General features: G+C 39.5%; 1 protein-coding gene across 9 annotated transcripts in view, besides 2 other annotated features; it reads left to right on the top strand.

Moving 5' to 3' along the window:
- The window catches only part of MEIS2 (Meis homeobox 2), a 212108-nt gene that overhangs the window by 49709 nt on the left and 140529 nt on the right, over nucleotides 1–21870 (top strand). For all 9 annotated transcript variants that reach the window (NR_051953.2, NM_002399.4, NM_001220482.2 and 6 more), the window contains one exon: nucleotides 14644–14789. Coding sequence is in view for 8 of the 9 variants with exons in the window: in NM_002399.4 (NP_002390.1) it covers nucleotides 14644–14789 (146 nt within the window). In the remaining variant the exon portion in view is untranslated. The remainder of the gene's footprint in view (nucleotides 1–14643; nucleotides 14790–21870) is intronic.
- Nucleotides 5015–5607: an enhancer, noted in NCBI's record as "NANOG-H3K27ac hESC enhancer chr15:37338197-37338789 (GRCh37/hg19 assembly coordinates)". NCBI's record gives its function as "activates a minimal SCP1, AML or CMV promoter by ChIP-STARR-seq in naive H9 embryonic stem cells {active_cell/tissue: H9 hESC(naive)}" and the evidence as "EXISTENCE:reporter gene assay evidence [ECO:0000049][PMID:30033119]".
- Nucleotides 5608–6202: an enhancer, noted in NCBI's record as "NANOG-H3K27ac hESC enhancer chr15:37337602-37338196 (GRCh37/hg19 assembly coordinates)". NCBI's record gives its function as "activates a minimal SCP1, AML or CMV promoter by ChIP-STARR-seq in naive H9 embryonic stem cells {active_cell/tissue: H9 hESC(naive)}" and the evidence as "EXISTENCE:reporter gene assay evidence [ECO:0000049][PMID:30033119]".

Genomic DNA, 21870 nt, shown 5'->3' with positions numbered 1-21870 from the left:
TGCACCCATTTAAAGTGTACAATTTAATAAGTTTTGGCAGTTGTATACACTCACGAGACCAGCACCATAATCAAGATACTACACGATTCCATCATTACGCCAAAATTTCCTTACACTCCTTTTAATCACTCCCTCCCTCTATATATGTCCTCAAGTAACCACTGATCTGCTTTTGGTCATTATGTATAAGTTTGCATTTTCTAGAATTTAATATATTTGAAATCATACAGTATGTGGCCTTTTGCGTGTGGCTTTCTCCATTTAGCATGATTTCAAAATGTACCATGCTGGGGGTATCAGTAGTTTATTCCTTTCTGTTGCTGAGTAGTATTTCAGTGTGTGGATATACCACAGTTTGTTTATCCACTCAAACTGGTTTGTTTTAAGAAAAGAAATAACTAACATTTATTGATGCACCTTTGCTATTTCAGGTACTACATGAGGCTAGATGTTGTGTATGAAGTCCTTAAGTTTGTTAATAAGTATAAAGCATTGGGTACAAAGTGGGGACACAATATAAGTAATAGCTCTTTCTCTCATGATTTCATTTAATTTTTATGGTTAACCTGTCAGGTATATGTAATTTTTCCCGTTTCACAGATGAGGAAACTGAGGTTCAGAGGGTTAATCTTTTGACTGAGGTCATACTCAACCAATAAGGAATAGATCTGGGGCTGGTCCAAGTGCAGTGGTGTTTACAACTAATTGATTAAAACCAGTCACAGGTTTCTTCATTTCTTCTTCACTCACACTCTTTCACTTTGACTAGTCTTAACAAATATAAATAAGAAATAGATCTGAAAATTCAACACAAGATCTGTTTTATTCCAAAACTCATGCTTCTTCCATCACATCACCATTTCCCCCCATGAGTACGTGCTTCTGTGTTTATGTGAGGAGGGAGTGGAGGGGCAGGGTGGAGGGACAAGGACTGCATCAGAAGCCAGTCTCCAGTGTACAAACAAAGTAGTACAACTGCCCAGAGAAATAGAAAAATGTCAGATATTTAGAAAAGTATGTCGGATACTCTTCCTAATTTAGGGCCCCTGTTCTCTATTGTCTGTTTCAATAAAGTTGCTTCTTCCATGGAGTGTATCTTACAAGTTAATGCCTTTGAAATTTATGACACGTCAACTCTATGGCCAATTTACACCTCTTAGAGACAAACATTCTAGATAGTTTCTGTTTCCAAGTTTTAGATATAAACCCACAAGGCATAAAAGCATATTTCAAGAAATAAGAGAGCCCTCCATCCATTCATTTAATAAAAGCCTAGGCACAAACTATACCCATAACATATATGAAGTTCTAAGAATATGAGAAAAAGAGATATGGTTTTTGACTTGAAGGAGCTTTCAATAATTGGGTAGAAATGTAGGCATGGGATGTGGGATGTGTGTGTGTGTATCTGTTTGTGGAAGTATTCTGGAGTTCTGAGTGTTAATGTAAGCCTTGGAAGAGCAAATATTTGGGCTAGGGTTTTGCTGTGATGCAATAGAATTGAGAGTGGAGAAGGATTAATTTTAGTATGAAAGTCAATATATGTTCTATAATGCATATCTTTGTAATATATTCTATAATGCATATCTTTGTAATATAAGCAGCATAATATCTATTGCAAATTTTTCAAGTACATATATTTGTCCATACACAAGGTGCTAAGACAAGATTAGTAAGTGGCCTTGAAATCACATTGTTTGAAGCAATTCAGAAAAAATTATGGATACCTTCAAGTTCAACTACTAGGCTTTTACATTTCTTCCAGCATGCTTATTTGTAGTGGGAGGCCAAAATCTGGTCTTAAAAAAAAAAAAAAGGCCAGCTGCGGTGGCTCACGCCTGTAATCCCAGCACACTGGGAGCCGAGGTGCATGAATTGCCTGAGCTCAGGAGTTCGAGACCAGCATGACCATCGTGATGAAGCCCCATCTGTACTAAAAATACAAAAAATTAGCCAGGCATGGTGGCGCACACCAGTAGTCCCAGCTACTCGGGAGGCTGAGGCACAAGAATTGCTTGAACCCAAGAGGCGGAGGTTGCAATGAGCCGAGATTGAGCCACTACACTCCGGCCTGGGAGACAGAGTGAGACTCTGTCTCCAAAAAAAACAAAAACAAAAACAAAAACAAAAAAAACAAAACCACAACTTTATTGAGATATAATTCACATATTATGCAATTCATCCCTTAAAAGCTTATAATTCAGTGGTTTTAATATATTCACAAAGTTGTTCAATCATCAACACAGCCGATTTTAGGACATTTTCATCACCCCAAAAGAAACCTCACACCCATTAGCAGTCATTTTCCATTTTCCATGTACTTTATAGGGCCTCAGTGTCTGCTGTTCTTTCCTGTATAGGCTATACGAAGAATGATCAACTTGTGCTATCCTAGATTATTCTTATTAAGCAGCCACACAGTATTTGTTTCTCTAGGGCTATTATGTGTATGTTGTAGATATTCATTTGCATTCTATTACAAAAACATATCTGCTTGGTCTCAAATAATGGCACTACATTTATTTAAAGCAATCATCATAATGGAATATCTGAATGCATCACTTTACTTTTAAAGTGCTAGCAATTTAATTTATAAACTTCTTAAACAAAAATTCAAAGTTTGATTAGGAAACTCTATTGTATGAAAATGTTCTTTGAAAAAATGTTCAAAATATAGTTTTCTAATAGCTAACAAATATGTTCCAAATTTGGTGTGTTAATGGTTTAAAAAGTATTCACCTAAAACCAGTCATCAACTCCATAATACTATTGTTCATTTTTTCTATAGGTAACTATCACTAGCTTCCTAAAAACTTCATAAAGGGCATGTTGATACATATCTCTAACTAGTTATCTTAGTTAACATTATTATTATAGAGACGGCTATCTTTTAAGATAAAGAGTTATTGTGGGTTTTTTTCACACTAACTTTCAAAGTTTCGAAGTTACACTTTTATTAAAATATTCTTTTGTTTTCATTTTACAATAGTTGGCAAAGTGGAAGAAATATTCAAAAAACCTTCGTTTTTGTTGTTCTGCTCTTTGAAATTATATCTGCTGATATAAATTCACAGAGCAATATCATCTTAGGAATTAAAACTGATCAACCATTTTATGTTATAAAAATGTATTGTCTTATTTTTGTTTTAGATAGCAAATTTGATAATGAAGTAAGGACTCTTAAAAATGGAATGAAATAATTTCTGTTACAGATAGAACTTTGCTTTTTTGTTATTTCTTCCAACAAATTTTATTATTGATAAATACTTAGCTGACATTTAATGTTTCATTTAATATTAAAGTATGATAAAAGAGACAATAAGTTAGAAAATCCTATAGTTATTATTGATCTATACTAAAACATATAGTATAGGTTTGATGTAGTTAATACATTTTTGGAAGCAGACTAATTATATTCTAGTTTTAGTTTAAAATGTTAAAAATGTGTTTTATATAAACGGCCTTTTGTAGGAAATTCTTTTTGCAAATATAAAGGCCATATCTTTCCTTGAAAGACCTGTTGATTCAGAGATGTTAGCCAGCTATCTTTACTAAAACACTTCACAACGCTAAAAATAGTCCACTTCAGTTAAATATGGATATTTTAAAAAAGAAAATCCCAGTTAGACTGCAACAGAAGGACATTTTGTGTGACAATATTTTGCATGATTAAAAATTTAAACAGAATAACAGCTATTTATATTTACAGTTACATGAGAGTAATTACTAAAGCAGACAAAATACTTAGAGCATAATTTAATAATGTTTTCCTCTAGCAAAGGTGCCAAAATTGTTATTTGCATAATTTTCACAATTTGTACTGAAACATAGCTAAGTGAAATTGGGAAGACACATCCCTCCGACCACCTTTTTTCTTCTGTAGGAGATGTGAGAATGAGACTCATATATCATAACAACTCATTTTTGTATAATTTTCCATAAAAACCATGACCGTTGTGTCAAACTATTAGGTGAAAGAGATGGGATCCATTCATACTTTCTCTTTTAGGGTCTTTATTTCAATGGCCAGCCTCAGCCCAACTTCAAGGCTCCTAATTATAACATTTACCAGTTCAAAGATTAACCTCCTGAGAGGGGCATTCTGGGCTCTTGGTAACTTGATCAGGTTGGTCTTCTCTTGGTCTCTCTCCCTTTCTGGTTCTTTGTATCACAGGAGGGAAATGATGGTATCTGGCACATTCCTAGGATGACTTGAAGATAGCAGCCTTCTGTGTTTAGGGCTGAAGGATTGTGAACTCTGTTAGCTGAAATGCCACTCTAGGGAGGTGAACAGAACATTAAAAAAAGCTTTAGCTCTAGGTAGTGTAGTGCAAGTTGAGTCAAATTTGAGAGCTGGGACTTGAGTGGACATTTGTCCCTGCCTTCTACCTTAATAAAATATGAGTGTTAACTGTGGAAAAGGGCATTTGAGAGATCACTAAAAATGAATCATTAGAGTGCCCAGAAGAGCTTTATTATGATGTACTGTGAATAACTTCAGAACATACTCTGTACTTTTATATGTGCTTATCAGGTAACTGAGTAACAAGTACATTCTTTTATCCTGCACCACAGAGATTAAGCAATCTGCTGAATTATAATGGCAGAGGAATGTACTTTTCTACTAGGGTCAGTCAGTATCCTTTAGAGAATTCAATGGGAGACTTAGGAGAACAGAGATCCTTTCTTAAATATTTTAAAATTGGTAAGCAATATATATATATATTTCAAATGACAATGAATTAAATATATATATATATATATATTTTTTAAACGAGAATAACCACATTTAGTGAAGAATAGGCTAAAAGTGTTGGAAGCTTTCATTCTCTTCTGCTATAAAGGATTAGACTGTTCCAGTCAATAAACAAAGCCATTTTATGGTTCCTAACGGGTAAATTGAGGGGACTGATTTGGTCAAGGACCAGTATGAGGATGTTTCTGTTCAACAGTTAACAGGATTCAACATGATATGGAAAATACAGGCGTGCAAAACTATACTACGACACTCACATTGCCAGCTAAAGCCTAAAACACAGCCACATTTACATATGTGTCCATCTGTCTGTTTTTACACTTTATTTTTCCAACCAGTGGGTGAAGTGGTTTTCATCCAAGCTGCAGTCTGAATTTTTTTTTTCACCCACCACTTTCCATTATATCATATAGATGCATATTTTAAAGTGCATGTTATTTGTCTCTGGACGCACATTTGCACAGCCTTGGCTGGGTTTTCCTTTCTCTTCTGGAAGGTTAGCTCATCTCTGCAGGCCTGTCTGCTTTGCAGCTGCCTGTACCAGCCAGGTTGTCTCGGGATCACTGAGTTAGTGAGCAGTTTGTTGCCTTCTCCAGGTTGTAGAAATCTCCCATCACAGGCCAGCGTGGAGCTGCAGCAGCCACAGTCTGGGCTGGCCAAGCCAGTGAGAATGGAAGTGCTTTCGGTCTCTTCAGTGGAGAGCCTGCGTAAATCCTGTGTAAATAGAGGGAGGATAACAAAGAATGAGCCCCTGCAGCTCCGAGCATTTGGAGCCATTTGAGGCTGAATTTGCTAAATGCTGCTTATACCGCCTGAAAAGTTGAAGAGAAAGGAGCATAAAATCCCCTCTTTTTTTCCCTTTCTGCTCATACCCCGGGGGGAGGGTGTTCAGGACCAGGGAAGCCTGAGGTAAGCCGATGAAGACTTGTTTTTTCAGTGCCCTTTTGAGTGTGAAAAAGGTGGCCTGGGTCACTGTCCTCTCTTTAATGTCGGAAAACCCTCACAGTTAGTAAATGTTGCATGTAAACGAAAGCATTTCATCTCTTCTGCTTCCCTCCATGCTAGCGGGCCATGAACTAATCACTTGAAAAATCACAGAAAAATTTCACTTTAACATGTCCGGACAGTTAAGCACAGCAGGAGAGTAAAAGAGATCAGTAATTAGCAGGTCTCACTGCTGGCCCCTCATCCTCCCCGTGTTTCTGGGTCTACAGCCCCCTCCCCTCAACTGATCTGATGTGAAAAAAAGGTAAATTGCATGTAGGAAAAAATTTACTTTGCTGATGGTTTTTGGAAAGCAAGTTTTGCAAGGCTGTATTCTAAAGCAGAATTAAGCAAAAGCTTCTTCTTCTTCTTCTTCTTTTTTTTAATCTCATTTGAAATCCTGATGCAGGTTTCTCAGTGGGGTGCCCTAAATTAAACTCCTGGAAGGTAGTCCCTGACAACCGCTGAAAGAAAATACCTTTTGGCTCTTAGTGTGTTGTAATCCTGTTTTCAAAGTACTATATTTAAGAGGAAAAGGGCATAAAGAAGTGATGACGGAAAATTAGTCCATAAAATACCGTGTGTTGCAGTTCCATTACTACATTATACTTCATTTTTAACTGTAATGTTTCTGAATAACCCAAACAAGCTGGGCAGTGGGCAGTTCCCTCTCTCCTAGCACTCTCTCTTCCCTGTTGGAATAGGGCAGAGTTGAGGTGGAGGGCACCATTTCTATAAGCAGTGTATGACATGTGTCTCACATCATCTCTGCATATATGCACACAGTGAAACACTGGGTGGGTGATAACCTAGTGCCGATAGGGCAGGGAGAGTGGAGGGAGGGAACCTAAGGCTTGGTGACTACTAGAAGCCAGGGAATCTCTTTCCTGGGCGCTTTCTTCAAAGCAGATTTGTTCTCATCAGGTTCTAATTAATATATCTAGAGGCTCTTGATATCAAACTGTACATTTCACTAACATTTGAGTGTTTACTCTTTCTCAGGGCTTGGGAATCAGAAACGCAAAAGCTCACAGACAGACAAACTAGCAAAAGCTCACAGACAAACTAGTAAACAGATAAATTGCAAGAAGAAAAGTAAATAACAGAGGTAAGAACAAACTGTTGAAGAAGTAGAGAGCATAGCACACTAGCTCTGTTAATGGGAGCCGGGGAAAGCTTTATGAAGGAGATTCCTTTTTCACTAAGTTTTAAAGGTTCAATAGGAGTTTGCTAGTAAAGAAGAATGGGAAAGGAGGAAAGAAAAATGAAGAGAAAGGGCATTCAAGGCCAACAGGAAGGATTAAAGGTATGGAATCTTGAAAGATCCCTTGGCTCAGAAAAGTCTTTAAAATTCAGCAGATGTTTCTGCTTCAAAATCATATTTAATTTGAGCTTTAGATCCACAGGAAATAATCATAAGCCTGTAGATAAAGGGTAGGCTCATATTGGATACACTCATCTGTGCAAAAATTATGAGATGCTTGTTTCTCGGTTCATATTTAATTTTAAGTGTACTGTCATCCCGTGTCTCTCTAGGACATAAATGTGAACATACAGGGCCTCTCTTTTGGCATTTATTTCTTTAGCAGAGAGGGCAAATCCAGAATTTAGCTTCACCCTTCACATCTTCTTCTCCCAGCAGCTTGAGGAAAGGAATAGAGGAGGTGAGCATGGGCTTTGGAGGACACTTTCTGTGTGGCCTTTGACAAGTCATCTAATTTCTTTGAGTCTCAGTTTTCTTATCTGTAGAATGGAGATGGTTTTATTCATTTGTTGTGAAGATTAAATAAGGATTGGAACATCGCAAGTGCCCAATGGAAGTTACTTGTGGTAATGATCATAATGAAAGTGACAACAGTGTGGATAAAGAAGAGACGGGCCAGGCACAGTGGCTCACGCCTGTAATCACAGCACTTTGGGAGGCCGAGGTGGGCAGATCATGAGGTCAAGACATCCAGACCATCCTGGCCAACATGGTGAAACCCCGTCTCTACTAAAAATACAAAAATTAACTGGGCGTGGTGGCACGCGCCTGTAATCCTAGCTACTCGGGAGGCTGAAGCAGGAGAATCGCTTGAACCAGGGAGGTGGAGGTTGCGGTGAGCCAAGGTTGCGCCACTGCACTCCAGCCCGGCAACAGAGCTAGTAGGACTCCATCTCAAAAAAAAAAAAAAAAAAAAAAGGAGGGGACGGTGTTCTAGAGATAGAGAACTGGTTACTGAAAACACCTACGAACTATAGAAATTTGCATATGTAAATGTATATATGTATCCGACTATAGGCAAAAACATTAAGTTCATCTACAAATATATTTCAATAATTGTGCACAAATTGAAGTATTTTAAATAGTGACAATTTAATTTACATAAATTTAGGTTTAAAATAGCATATAACACATATAAGTATCTTTATATTCATAAGTATACCTACTTCCTGGAAATGGGTTGTCTGGAAGATATCAATATTGATATCTGTCTACCTATGTTTGTGTATATATAAAATTAGTGAACTTACATTGTGCAAAATGAAAATGTTAATGAATATGGTAAATTTTTATTGCTACAAAAAGAGACAGAAAAAAAGTCTTGTTCCTCCAGATGAGCTATCATTCTTTATTTCCTTGACATATATTTTGTATGAACATATTTAACTATTAAACCTGGTCTAGAACTAGGGAGAAATGAGAATTAAATAATGTACCACAAGTTCCCTAAAAGAAGTACCAGTACTGTTAACCAAATACATATTAATTTGTCTTATTTCTCTGAAGAGACATGGCTGAGAGGTCAGTTTTAGGTGTTTGTTTGACAGTGTGCCAAATGTCGCAGAAGCATTATTCTATTATTTAAAAAGTGACTTTAAAGGATGTGAATATATCGTTGTAATCACAGTTCTATGAAGTTTTTAATAGTACTGCACAGTGATGACATCAAAGCCCATGAGATCCTACTTCATGGACAGTAGGCTCAAATATTGGTAGCATCTCTGGACTCTGAGGGTCAGTCCGGTGCTCTCCATGTCAGAGTCTTCACTTGGACTGTGTTAAACCAGTTATGAAAATTCTGAGTCTCAAATATAATTAAAGCTCTTGCAGGAACTGGCTGACTTCTGGAGAAGAGTTAGCACATTTCTATTTGAAGCCAACTTGGACCAGGTCTAGCTCAGTCCCAACCCCAGGGTCCCAGAACTAATCTGTTCTCTGTGCTTAGACCTTTTCCTATAGAATCAAGCATTGTTTGGATCTGCCATTGATAACAGTGTTCAGACAAGGTGATGCTTTGAAAAGTAAAAGATAATTTACAGTGTTAATGTGAGAATACCAGTGGTGGTAGCACTGACTTGAAGTTGCCATGCCTGGACTCCAATTTATCCTTGACCATGTGTAGCTGTGGCATCTTGGGCAAGGATTTAATCTCCTGGCTTCAGTTTCCTCAATGGTAAATGTCAGTTTTGGCAGGGATGGGGTAAGTAGAAGAAGTTGGACTAGGACTGTCTTGGTTGTTGCAATGTTTTTCTGATAAGACAAGGAGAAAGAAGGCCACATCCCTGTGGTATCAGACTCATCATAGCACATCATCACTGCTTTTATCATTTTTTCATTCCAAATCATGTGCTTGATATTCAAAATAAAGATTTTTGGCTAAATGGAATAAAGCAATATGCCAAAAGATGAATCTTTTTGCCTGGATGGTTGACTTTTTCCTTTCTTTTTGAGATAGGGTCTTACTCCGCTGCCCAGGCGAGAGTGCAGTGGTGCAATCACTGCCCACTGCAGCCTCGAACTCTTGGGATCAAGCCATCCTCCCACCTCAATCTGCGGTGCTCACCACCATGCCTGGCTAATTTTTTGTAGAGAGAGGGTCTCACTATGTTGCCCAGGTTGGTCTCAAACTCCCAAGCTCTAGCAATCCTCCCAAACAGGCCTCTCAAAGTGCTGGGATTACAGGCATGAGCCACCATGCCAAGCCTGCCTAGGTAGTTTTTATGACCATGAATTTTATGAATGAGAATTTTCTTTTCTTTTTTTTAAGCTTTTTTTAAATCTTTTTGTAATCCCAGGTGCACATATATTTTGTATGAACATATTTAACTATTAAGCCTGGTCTAGAACTTAGAATTTAGAATCAATTCTAGAACTAGAATTTAGAATCAATCATCTGAGGATCCTCTCATAGTGTGCCGACGTCCTTCCTTGATTCAGTGGATACACAACTATGGATATGGATATTTGCCTACACCCAGATGCCGATGGTATCCCAGGATTTAGCTTCCTGCAGTTAGACACTCTCATTATTGCTCTTTTAAGTAGGTGTATGCTGGAGCTACCTACCAGAGCAATGTTGTGTTCTGAGCATAATCTGCTCAGCTAAGGAAAGCATGCGTGACTTCCTTGAGAGCATAGGTGTAAATCCAGCTAGAGATGCTCTCAAAATGCTTCAGAGTCTTAAGACAGAAGGAGGACCCAGGGATTAGATTCAGGCCTTCAGACAGCAACAAAGGAGGACAGCAAACCAAGGGGATGTTCTCTGTGCTTTATGGCAGTGGTTCTCGAGCTAGAGTGGGCATCAGACCCACCTGCAGGGATGATTAACAGGGCCCCACACCTAGAGTTTCAGATTCAGTAGGTCTCAGCTAAGACTGAGAATTTGCATTTCTCACAATTTTTTAGCTAGTGCCAATGCACAGAGCCAATGTTCTATAGCTTCTTTCTTTCTGTTTAACCCTTACTACCAGAAGACTAGGATGGGGATTTAGAACACCATGGCTTTCCCACAGTGAATAAGGCCCAGGCCAGATTGCAGTTACTCACTGTGGCTGCTAACCTCATTCATGGGAGTAAAGTAGGATTTTAATTACCTACCTGTTCCTGAGGCTGCATCTCATTTCAATTTAGATAATCTAGTCAGTGGCTTCCCAAAGCCAGTTAAAGCATCAGTGATACTCTGATTGCATAAGCAAACCCAAGGAATTGTTGAAATTACAAATTCCTTTTTCCCGCCCTAGGACATTTTGAATCAGTAGGTCTGGGATGAGGCCTGGGGACCTGTGTTTTTAACAATCTCCTCTGATCATTTAATCCACTTCCGATTTATCTGTCCACAGGCCTTGAGTCTTCCTTTCCATGGTCACACACAATATGTTTCACTAATGCACATTTATTTTGAGTATGTTTACCCAAAACTTAGACTATGCCCTTGGTCAAGGGATTAGCAACCTTTCAAAAGAAGCATGCCCAGTATTTCTTTATATAGCCTTTCATCATCAGAGGTGGCAATGCTGATGGAATGGCCTTTGGTTTAGCTCTGCAAAAAAGCCCTGTGGGTACTCAGCTCTTCAAAGAAGCTCTGTTCCTGGCATGTTTAGAAGTTACTGTGTGCACATACGTAACCCACTCAGCTGTTCCAGAGGAACAAGACCTTCACCCTTTAGGTATATAGTGTGTGCAGTTGCCCCACCGTGGGGGTTGGCAAAAAGTGGGGAGGGCCCTTGCATAAGCTCATTGATAAGTTCAGTCATTTACTCACCCAACCAACAATCACTGGTTATGTGTTCTGAGTCAGGCATGGAGGTATCTTCTCATAATCAAAAGATAAGCAAGAAACAGTTAACTGCCCGCAAGGATTCCACAATTTTGAATCCTAACTTCAGATGCTATCTCCTTACCTCATTTGGCACGTGCATTTGTGCTGGTATACATACCTTTTTCAGCACATAAACTCATTTGGCACATGTGCCAAGGATTGCCAACTATCTTATACACACAACCACACACACACACACACACATACACAGCCTTAAAACAAAAAAAAAAAAACACCAATATCCATGTTGAGTTACTAACTCTAGCATCAGCTGCAAAATTTTATTTTAGGTTGCAGTTCACGCAGTTGTCTTTCAAAAATTTTCGTTATGCTGTTGTTAGTTCTCTGTGCTGGATTTGGTCCACAGTCCATTGGAGGAAAAAACAATTGTATTTATTGTTGTGTTTGGGAGAGGAAAATTCCTCTTTTTATAGAGGTATAAACATATATTAGTTTAAAATTTTGTGTCTAGTATGTAGTCATTAATACAAAACTAGACACATTATTGTTTATAATTATTTGTTACACTGGATCTAAATTCAAATATTTTACATTTATATACAACGGGTTGCTTTATATTAAAATTTATGTGATGCTCCTGTCTTCTCCAGTTTAAGTCAGTCATCAAAGGATGCTCAATCTAGCTATATTTTTTCTTGCACTAAATATAGTGAATCATAAAGTTCGAAGGTGTTACCAGCCCTCTTTGCTTTTAAGAAAGAAAAGATGCACTGTGGAAATGCTGTCTCTCATTTTTAAGGTCATTGATTGGGTTAAAAAGGCAAATGACTTTTTTCATTGAACTTCCTTCAATTAAGCCATTAACCTTTTAAAATAAGTGCATTCAAAAATCTATCAAAAAAAGCTAAATGAGATTTTAACAAAATCCTGACAATTTCAGCTTAAACATATACACAGAAACCATATGTGCTTAGAAAGAAATATATACACACAGGCATTGTTTACAGAGTGTGTTTTTATATTTGGAAGACACTGAAGGAAGAGTTATTCCATACATACATTATCTGAAATGTACATTCAGATAGCCTACATAGATTTCATATTACACACAAAGATATCTTTATCCATGGTAGGTAGACAGACAGACTGACTGACTTCAAACTTGCACTTGCAGTGTGGATTTTTTTTCCTCATCTCCGGGTACTGCTTTTCAAAATTGCCTCAGGCTACAGAACAGCACCTCAGATCCCCAAGGCCCACTGCCTGGCTCCTAATAGCCACTCTCCATCTGTGTCACATGAACAGCTGATGAGATCGCTCCAGTGTCTGTATTTTGGAGAGCACATCCACCCAGGTTAAAATGCTAGGGTTGCCAAGGAGCAGTCAGAAGCCATTAGTGTGGGTGAGAATTTGCCTTGCAGCAGTTCCTTGGCATGGTGGAAAGCGTGTGCACGTGTCCCTGCACGAGCTTGGGTGTGCGTGTATGTGTGTGTGTCTCCTTGTCCAGGCGACACTCCGGTGTACATGGGTGTGCAGGGAGGGTGACAGATGAAAACTAGACTGTATATTATCCAGTATTGAAAGAGTCAAATGCCTTTTGTTTCACTGTATACTGATTCGGTCTTTGACTATATGGGGTCCCTTTTTTCTTATCATAACAGAAGGCAAAGAAAAAGAGAACAGCAACTTCGGGGTCATGCTCTAGTGTTTGGGCAGATGGAAGGGAGCTGCTTTGCCTTGGGGCAGGGTGGTTGTAATGAAGTGGCCTGTCAGTCTGTAAATAGTGAGGGTCATCTCTTCCATGTGATGGAGGGTATCGCATTGCAGTGAAAATGGAAATGTCAATAAAATTAATCTGCCAGCTCTTTGCTGTGGCTTTTCTGCTTCTCTAGTCAAAGAAAGTTGAGGGTTTTTTGGCAAGAAAGGAAAAGAACAGGTACAGGGAAGCCCACAGAGCAGACCCAGAAGTTAGAAGGCAAGTGGCCCAGTGGGCAGGATGGCTGTGCTGTAGCATAGTCCGAGAGGAGGGAGCAGGTCTGGGAATGAGCTGATGGATCTCTAGTATTCCTCAGAAAGCTACAGAGCATCCAGCTCAGGCTACATTGAGCACAGAGTTTATTGTTTTAGGCTTTCTTGGACAAGGTTTTTACTTAGCATGGGATTTATGGCATTTACTGCTAATGAATGTCTATTCTTAAATTACAAAAACCCCCATCTCAGTGCAATTCCCAGATGTCCTTCCAGGACCCTGGCTTCTTAAACACCAGCAGGGAGCATAAACTCTCCACTTCTCTGTTTTCCTCTTTCGTGTGGCTCCAGGCTAATGATGTGCAAGGAAAACACAGCCATCTATAAAGCCCCAGTGCTGTCCCCGTATTCTTCATTTATTTTGCATTTGATTATGCCACAAGTCGGATCTTGTTTCTTTCCTTTTTTTAAAGTTATTAGTTCAAATATTAATGTAGGGATATGGCATATATTGCTGCTCTTGATTGATGCCTTCCCAAAAACAGGAAGACGTGCTCGTATGAATTTTAAGAAAGTAGGGGTCCTGCAATGCCTTGCCAGAAGAGTTTTTCAGATACATAATTTAGATGCCCTCCAGGCAGGCTTTCAAGGCATTTTTGCCAGAGGGCAAGAAAAAATAACTATGACTGTTAAAAGTAAATGATTTTTGCTAATGCACAATTAATGCCAGAGAAAAGCACAGAAGAGAAAGATGTTGATAGAAACTTCTGATTAAGTGAGCACCCTACCTTGATGTGTATCTTTTTTTTTTTCATGATAATGATCAGTGGTGCAGAGAGCTAAAAGTTTTCATGTCATGCAAATGCCGAGTGCAGGGTCATATGAGAAGTGTGCGAATGTGCGTGCTTAGGAGGTGACAGCTCTAGGAGGGGCTGAGCAGGCAGTGCGTTATGTGCAACGAACAGTGACACAGTTACTGTCACCTATGCAGGCAGCCTAGAATATATAGACTACAGAACATTTAACTTGATTACCCTACAGTATGTGTTCACTCTGGGCATGGGGATGCGTTTCCACTGAATAGGTTTTCTGATGGCGGTTTTCCCACATTGGATTCCATAATTGACAAAGAGCTACTGCACTGTGTCAAGTGCACAGTTATAATTGAATTAATGATATGGGCAAGTGTGAGACACACAAAATTAACATTTGAAGAGGCCTGGTTTAATTTTGTCTTTTACATATTTGTGTCTCCAATTATACTTTAATGAAAGAGAATATACTCGCTTAATGGATTTCTTTCAACAAGCTTAGCTGAGCTCATCATTAGCTGCACTTGTTGTTGGCACCTTGCGATGTTTTCTCTAATGTATTTTTATTTCTTTCTACTAGGGGATGGTTTAGACAACAGTGTAGCTTCACCTGGTACAGGTGACGATGATGATCCGGATAAGGACAAAAAACGCCAGAAGAAAAGAGGCATTTTCCCCAAAGTAGCAACAAATATCATGAGAGCATGGCTCTTCCAGCATCTCACAGTAAGTCAAGATGAAAGAGAAAAAAAAAATAGTTTTTGTTGTTTTGCTAGCAAGTTATACGGTCTCATACTGATTTTTTTTTAAACTAAGGTGCCTATTTTCTTATTCTTGAAATCTGATGACTAACAGACTAGTTAAAGTTTTTTTTTTCATCAACTATTACCATCCAAAGAGCACCCTCTAGAAAGTAGCAGGTTTTTGTTTTAAGAAGCTGGGAATGGACTTTATTTAAAATGATCTAAGACCCTAAACAGCATATATAAGTAAATTTGTTATTTATGCTAAAAGTATGAGAGCAACTTCGGATACTGCAACAGCAACCAAGGGAAATGGCTGTAAGGAGCTCACAAATCCATAAACGTTGCTGATTACACTGTTAACGAAAGCTGTCTCCTCTAGGAGGCCAAAAAAAAAAAAAAAAAAGCACCTTGCCACATGCATGTCCAAGCTCACAATATCAGGTGCAGCTTTAATTGCTGAAGCAGTTTACAAATATGTCATGTATTTATATGACAAATTCAGAAGGGTTATAGGTGCTGTAATGCCTTTGTTTGCAAGGTGGACATTAAAGATTCTTTTTTTAGCTGCTCAAGTCCATTATCTTAAAAGCTAACCATGTTCACTTCTGGAAACGGTTTTACTATGTGAGACATTTTAAAAGTAACAATTTATCTTTATCTTCCTGTTTGCAATCCTTGTATGTGTGGATACATACTGTTGACTCTAAGACTCTTATGACAAAAAAATTACAATATATTTTTACAGATAAACTAGGCATGCTTATATTTTACTGTTCATTTGGAAATTCTGGGAAACCAGTAAAAATTTCAGAGGTTGCTTCTTGCTATAATATTGTTTTCAGGCCATTCTATTTAGGCTAATACTTAAAAATAGAGTAGCACATTGAAAGCTGAAGGTCTTCTTTGATTATCCAACTTGTGTGTTGCCATGCTGAATGACATTAGTTACAGTGTCATGGGTCCAGGACAAGGTTCCACTTTTATTTATGGTGGTGGCTGCTGATGGGCTCTTCTTGCAGAGCTACAAAGGGCAAGGGGTGGAGCAGTGGTGGGGAGGGAAAAGTGATAGATTCACATTCCTAAATCGGCCATTTTGATGTAAGGACATTAGTAGCAAACTAAGGTGTATCGATCTGGCCTGTGGTGTCAGGATTAGCTGGGAGAACCAATGAGGCAGCTGTGGTAGTGGTTATTCTTGCCTTGCAGCTATGGCCATTTCAAAGGTCAGGGCCCTGCACTGACTCGGCTCAGAGGAATTAGACAGAACATGCGGTCTCTGGACTGATTACTTAACCAAAGACAAAATAATGAGTCCTAAGCAAATACTGACTAATTGAAAGGGCTGTAAATCCATTACATATTGGTCAGGGATAATCAGGAGTATTTAATCACTTTTATCTATTCAGGAGCACTGAAGCTGCAACAGCAAAGCCCTGAACCTTGCCATGTGGTTATTATTCTCATCATTATCAAAATTACTTCACAGCTGTTCTTTGCTACATCACCTCAGCTGGAGATTTACTAACCTGTAAAATGTTTTTAATTTGGAAGTCGAGTGACTGTGAGGGGAGGGGTTTCTCATTTTTAAATGAAGGTTTGTTTGGTTAGAGTAGCAACTAAGAACGGCAGTGTAGCTGCGGATGACAGGCCAGCTGCCTTCTCCTGACCAGCTCACCTGTTTGGTTCCCTCCCTCTGTCCTCCTCCATGCTTGGTCTTTCTTGGTCGAAAATAAACACTTCAACAGCTGCTTTCCAAGCAAACAGCTACGTGTGTTTTCAACCTCTCTGTCATCAAAACCAATGTCAGAGAACAGTAGAACCTTAGAGAATGCAGCTGCTCTGTTTATAGATGAGGAAACAGAGACCCAAAAAGGGAAGTTACTAGCTGAAGGTCAAGCTGAGACAAGGGCCCGAGACTTCCAAGTCCCCAACTCTGTGATTTTTCCACATTACAATGACTTTGCCAAAATGACGATCACCTTTAACAGTTGCATAGAAATCTCACAGTCTCCACCATCAATACGCTCAGAGTCACAAGGGAGAAATACGGAGAAGCCAAGTGCTGTTTTCTTTTCTTGTTTTGAAAGCTCCGTGTTACCCAATATAGAAAGCCTTACCACCTGTATTTTGTGAGTTGAATCTCACATGGGAGTGTCAGGAGCCCTTAATACCTTATCTCCCACCTCCCTGCCCAGGGCGGCACCCAGCATGCACCATGGCCACCGATTAGAGTTGTGGGTGGCTGGTGATTTCTGGGCACTTGTTGTACCTCTGCTGTGCTACGAACTAACAGTAAGAGCTTGTAGTCACCTCAAGAATGCTTTCATCTAGTTGAATGTATGCAAGGCTTTGTGCAGAATTCTCTGTCCGACTCAAATTTTTAATGACTGCCTGTCCTCCAGGTTGGGAGAGAGGACTCAAATAGCCTAAGCTGGGGGAGTTGGGAAGTCTGCATTCATGCTCTGTGATCCTCTGTACTGGCTGAACCTCAGTTAAGTCCATTAAGTTCCCTGGACTTTCTGTTTCCCCATTTTTCAAATGAGAGGGACACGTTGCAGGATGGATAAGCTCCTTTCCCATGCTCCTAGGTTTTGGTTCTGCTCAAGGACATTTAGTCAGAGCAATGCCCGGTCCCAGCCTCATGGGTCATTCTTTCCTCTCTTTCCCCCTTTCTCTTTGCTTTTGCTTTTCACTAACTGCTTTATTTCTCTCCTGACCTTCTTCACAACATGCCCCTTTCATTACTTTCTCCCACTAGCTTTGTCTCCCATCTTTCTCTCTGTGCCGCTCCTCTGCCTTTTCTGCACCTCCCTTGTAGCTTTAGGAAATTCTCCTCTGCTTGCTCTTTGAAAATGTTTTCCTTCTTCATCCACACTTCACCCCACTGCAGAGAAGAGGTTCAGTAACTTTGATGAGGATGGTCCTGTAAAACTTTTACTTTCCAATCTTTAATGAGCTGAAAGATTTACTCAGCTGTAATTCTGAGCTCAGAAACCAAGAATAGAGACCCCTAACTAGCGACATGTTAATTTAGATTTCTTTTCTTACATGCACTAACAGGCATGAGGAAGTCCTTGGAACTAGAGATGCCCCACTATATTTTTCTGTCATTTAATTAATTTCGACTTTCAAAGTGAAATGTTGGCTCTAGCTCACTGAAAGTAGATGCAGTCTAAATTATTATTTCATGTAAATTTCTTTACAAGTGCATGATTCAATATGCATTTCTCCATTATTAGTCTCTTTAACATTATTTCAAACTGGTTTGTTCCCTTTTGTGCAGTGTGACCTGTTCTTGTATTACAATAATCCCCGATGTACCCTTTTTTCTTTCTTTTTTAAAAAAGAAGCTAATTGAATTATCTCATTATTTTAATTTGTTAAGCAAATGTATTTTGCATCTCAGGATGTGTTCTTAAAGAAGGGGGCTGCCAAGGCTTTGCCCCCTGAATGGGCCATTGGCCCATTTTGACATTCATGCATTCATTAACTAGCAGAACATAAAAGAACTCTGGTTGTATTTTTTTTTTCCAAACACCCAACCAGCGTGGAGCAACTTTTCCCAATAAGCCACAGGGGTCTTTCTACATATGTTCTCAACTGCAAGCTATTGTCACCTATTCTGAATACCTCAAAAGGCCCAGAGGTGGAAAAAAACCTACCTCAACAAAGGCCAACTGTAGCAATTGTTAAGTCTTAGTCTCAATATGACAAAAATCATTCACCCTCAGTTTTCTTGGAAGAACAAGTTCCACTCCAACTGTAACAGTTAAAACAATCTCTCAAATTCCTTTGCACCACCAACTTCAGGGGGAAAGGTAACAAACTTGCACTAATTGATTACGCTGAGGAAAATATTTAAACAAAGTCCAAAGTGGCATTTAAAAAATCAAGTGATTTGATAAACCGTTTCCATAGTCAGAATTAAGCATTCTGAATTTGCTTAATCTGGGGCTAAATATTAATAATTAGCCTCAATTTTTTTGTTTCGAACTACCCTATTTTCAAAATGCCCCTTACAAATATCCCCTCTAAAAAAATTCACAATAATTTTAACAGAATAAATCTATCTATATATTTTTAGAAATTCAACTAGCAAAAACTTTCTGTATACCATTACCCTCTTCCGTTGGTTGATGGCACTGCCTAACTTCTCAAGCTAAGAAATCCAGTGATGATTGAAGAAAGAATCTCTTGGAAATGTGTGTGCCTTTGCTGGAAAGTACCCAATGGCAAAACAAACAAACAAACAGACAAAAACTTAGGGAAATCCTAGAGAAGTACATTCCTTTTGCTAGCACATGGAGACTATGATATCATAAAAGTAAGCCTGCCATTACAACTGTTTTTATTTGACTTCAAAGATAAAGAAAGAAACAGCAAGCAATAATACCCAGGCTGACGTGAAAAAACTCCTCCACGCCAAGAAGCCCTTAATGTGCTCAATTAGGCCCTCGGGCACCTCCACTTGCCACCTTCAAGAGCTCCTCCAGTTGTGCTGCAAATAATATATTTGATCATGGACTAGAAACAGGAAGTGCTCATACACAAAGACACTACTTGCTCATACCAGTTTCTGGCTGAAGGTCTTCTTATTTGAAAACATAGGGATAAAGCTCACACTTAGCAGATGTGGGACTTCTTTCAAAGATGTGTGTTACAGAATCAGAAGCAAATTTTACTTTTAAAAGTGATATAAGCCAAGTGGGGAGGATCGCTTGGGGCTAGGAGTTTGACACCAGCCTGGGCAACATAATGAGATCCCATCTCTACAAAAGAATAAAAATTTAGCCGGGTGTGGTGCACACATGCCTGTGGTCCCTGCTACTCAGTAGGCCAAGGTGGGAAGATCATTTGAGCCCAGGAGTTTGAGGCTGCAGTGAGCTAGGATGGAACCACTGTACTCCAGCCTAAGCAACGGAATGAAACCCAGACACACACACACACACACACACACACACACACACACACACACACAAAGTGATGTAATATTATGTATGCAGCTGCCTTGAAACTACAGATTCTAAAACCTCTGCCTTTTGTTCATGACAAAATGCTTTGTCCCCTCTTCATATCTCTGGGGGTTGGGGAGAGGGGTGAAGCCCACCTCTCAGGTGTTTACTCATTTTACTACTTGCCTATTAGAATCTGACTTATGGGATTTTGTCAAGGCCTGGGTTTGGTAATAAAAATGTGCTATAAAGGATATCATCCTACAGAGACAGTGCACCCAAGTTATAAGTATATTCAGTTCCATGTGATGTTAGAGAAACCTGTCTCTCCACCGAGTTCATCAAGACCATATGACCGTAAACTTAGTCATCTTAAATTTGTTATTGTAATGTACACACACACACACACACACACACACATATGCAAGGGAGGAGAGAGGGAGGGAAGGAGAAAGAGAAACAGAAACAGAGAGACTTAGACTATTTTGCCCTTTGACTAGTTATCTTTATCTTGTGCAGATCCAGATGGCTTCTTTCTTAAATGAGGCAGTCCAATGTCGAGGTTAAGAGCACAGGGCCTGGAATCTGCAACACAGTAGATTTTTGATCTTGAGCCATTACCCTCTCTGCGCCTCATTTTTCATATCTGCAGAAGAAGAATAATTCTAGTTCCACCTGGTAAGGTTATTTTAAGGATTAAGTGAAATAATGTAAAGTACTCAGCCCTGTGCCTGATTCTTATAATAAGTACATATATAAAGTAACTATAATTTTTATTTTAATCCAGTTAAATGGCTAGCAGAAGGCTTTGACCAATGGACCTGGGCATCCAAAGTTACCACATTTGTTCCTGGGATTGTAGAGATGTAGAGACCAGGTTTTGCCAAACAAATCCCAAATATGGCCGGTGCAGTGGCTTATGCCTTTAACCCCAACACTTTGGGAGGCTGAGGTGGGAGGAATGCCTGAAGCTCAGGAGTTTGAGACCAGCCTGGGCAACACAGCAAGACCCCATCTCTATAATTTTTTTTTAATTGGCTGGGCATGGTGGTGCATGCCTGTGGTCCTGGCTGCTTGGCAGTATGAGGTGGAGCCCAGGAGTCAAAGGCTGCATGGAGCCATGATCACGGCACTGTACTCCAGGCTGGGTGACAAAGTGAGACCCTGTCTCAAAGAAAAAATAATAATAATAATAATAATATCCAGGCTGGGGGCGATGACTCACGCCTGTAATCCTAGCACTTTGGGAGGCCAAGGGGGGTGGATTGCTTGAGGCCAGGAGTTCAAGACCAGCCTGGGCAACATGGTGAAACCTCGTCTCTACTAAAAATACAAAAATTAGCCAGGTGTGTGGGCACACATCTATAGTCCCAGCTACTGGGGAGGCTGAGGCACAAGAATTGCTTGAGCCCGGGAGGTAGAGGTTGCAGTGAGTGGAGACTGTGCCACTGCACTCCAGCCTAAAAAAAAGAAAAAAAAATGGAAATACCCCTCAGTAGGAGAGAACATGGTCTACATTCTGCCTTCCGAAATCCATATTAACATTTGGTGGCTGCTTGTTGAAGCTAGGTGATAGCATTAGAGAGTCCTGGTGTCATGAAAGCCAGAGCATCCTAGTGAACTTTCAGGGATGGGGTGGAAGGTGGAGAAGAAATGGGCTATGGAGTAGTTCAGAATGTCTCCAATGGGGCTACTTTTGAGAGAGAATGCTCTCTTTCACCATTTGTCTTCCAGGATATGAACAGAATATAGAGTTGCTATCTTCCTTAGAGTGTGAAAGTCTAGGCTGTCTGCAAGACAGCATGTTATGGTTTTTATTATTTTTTATTGATTGATTGATTGTAGAGACGGCATCTCGCTGTGTTGCCCAGGCTGGTCTCAAACTCGTGGCCTCAACTGATCTTCCCACCTCAGCCTCCCAGAGTGCTGGGATTATGGGTGTGAACCACAGCACTTGGCCATGGTAATGGTTTTTAAAAAAGGGATCACCAGCTGTGAACTTGGAAGCCTTAGGTGTGAACTCTGTGATATTATTCAACCTCTCTGAACCTATTTCTTACCATCAAAATGAAAGTTATCTGCCCTATTTAGCTGATTGGGTTGCTGTGT

Source organism: Homo sapiens, chromosome 15, assembly GCF_000001405.40.
Source record: "Homo sapiens chromosome 15, GRCh38.p14 Primary Assembly".
NCBI classification, from domain to species: domain Eukaryota; kingdom Metazoa; phylum Chordata; class Mammalia; order Primates; family Hominidae; genus Homo; species Homo sapiens.
Note: the sequence above shows the minus strand (reverse complement) of the source record. Positions and strands in the feature narration are given on the sequence as shown.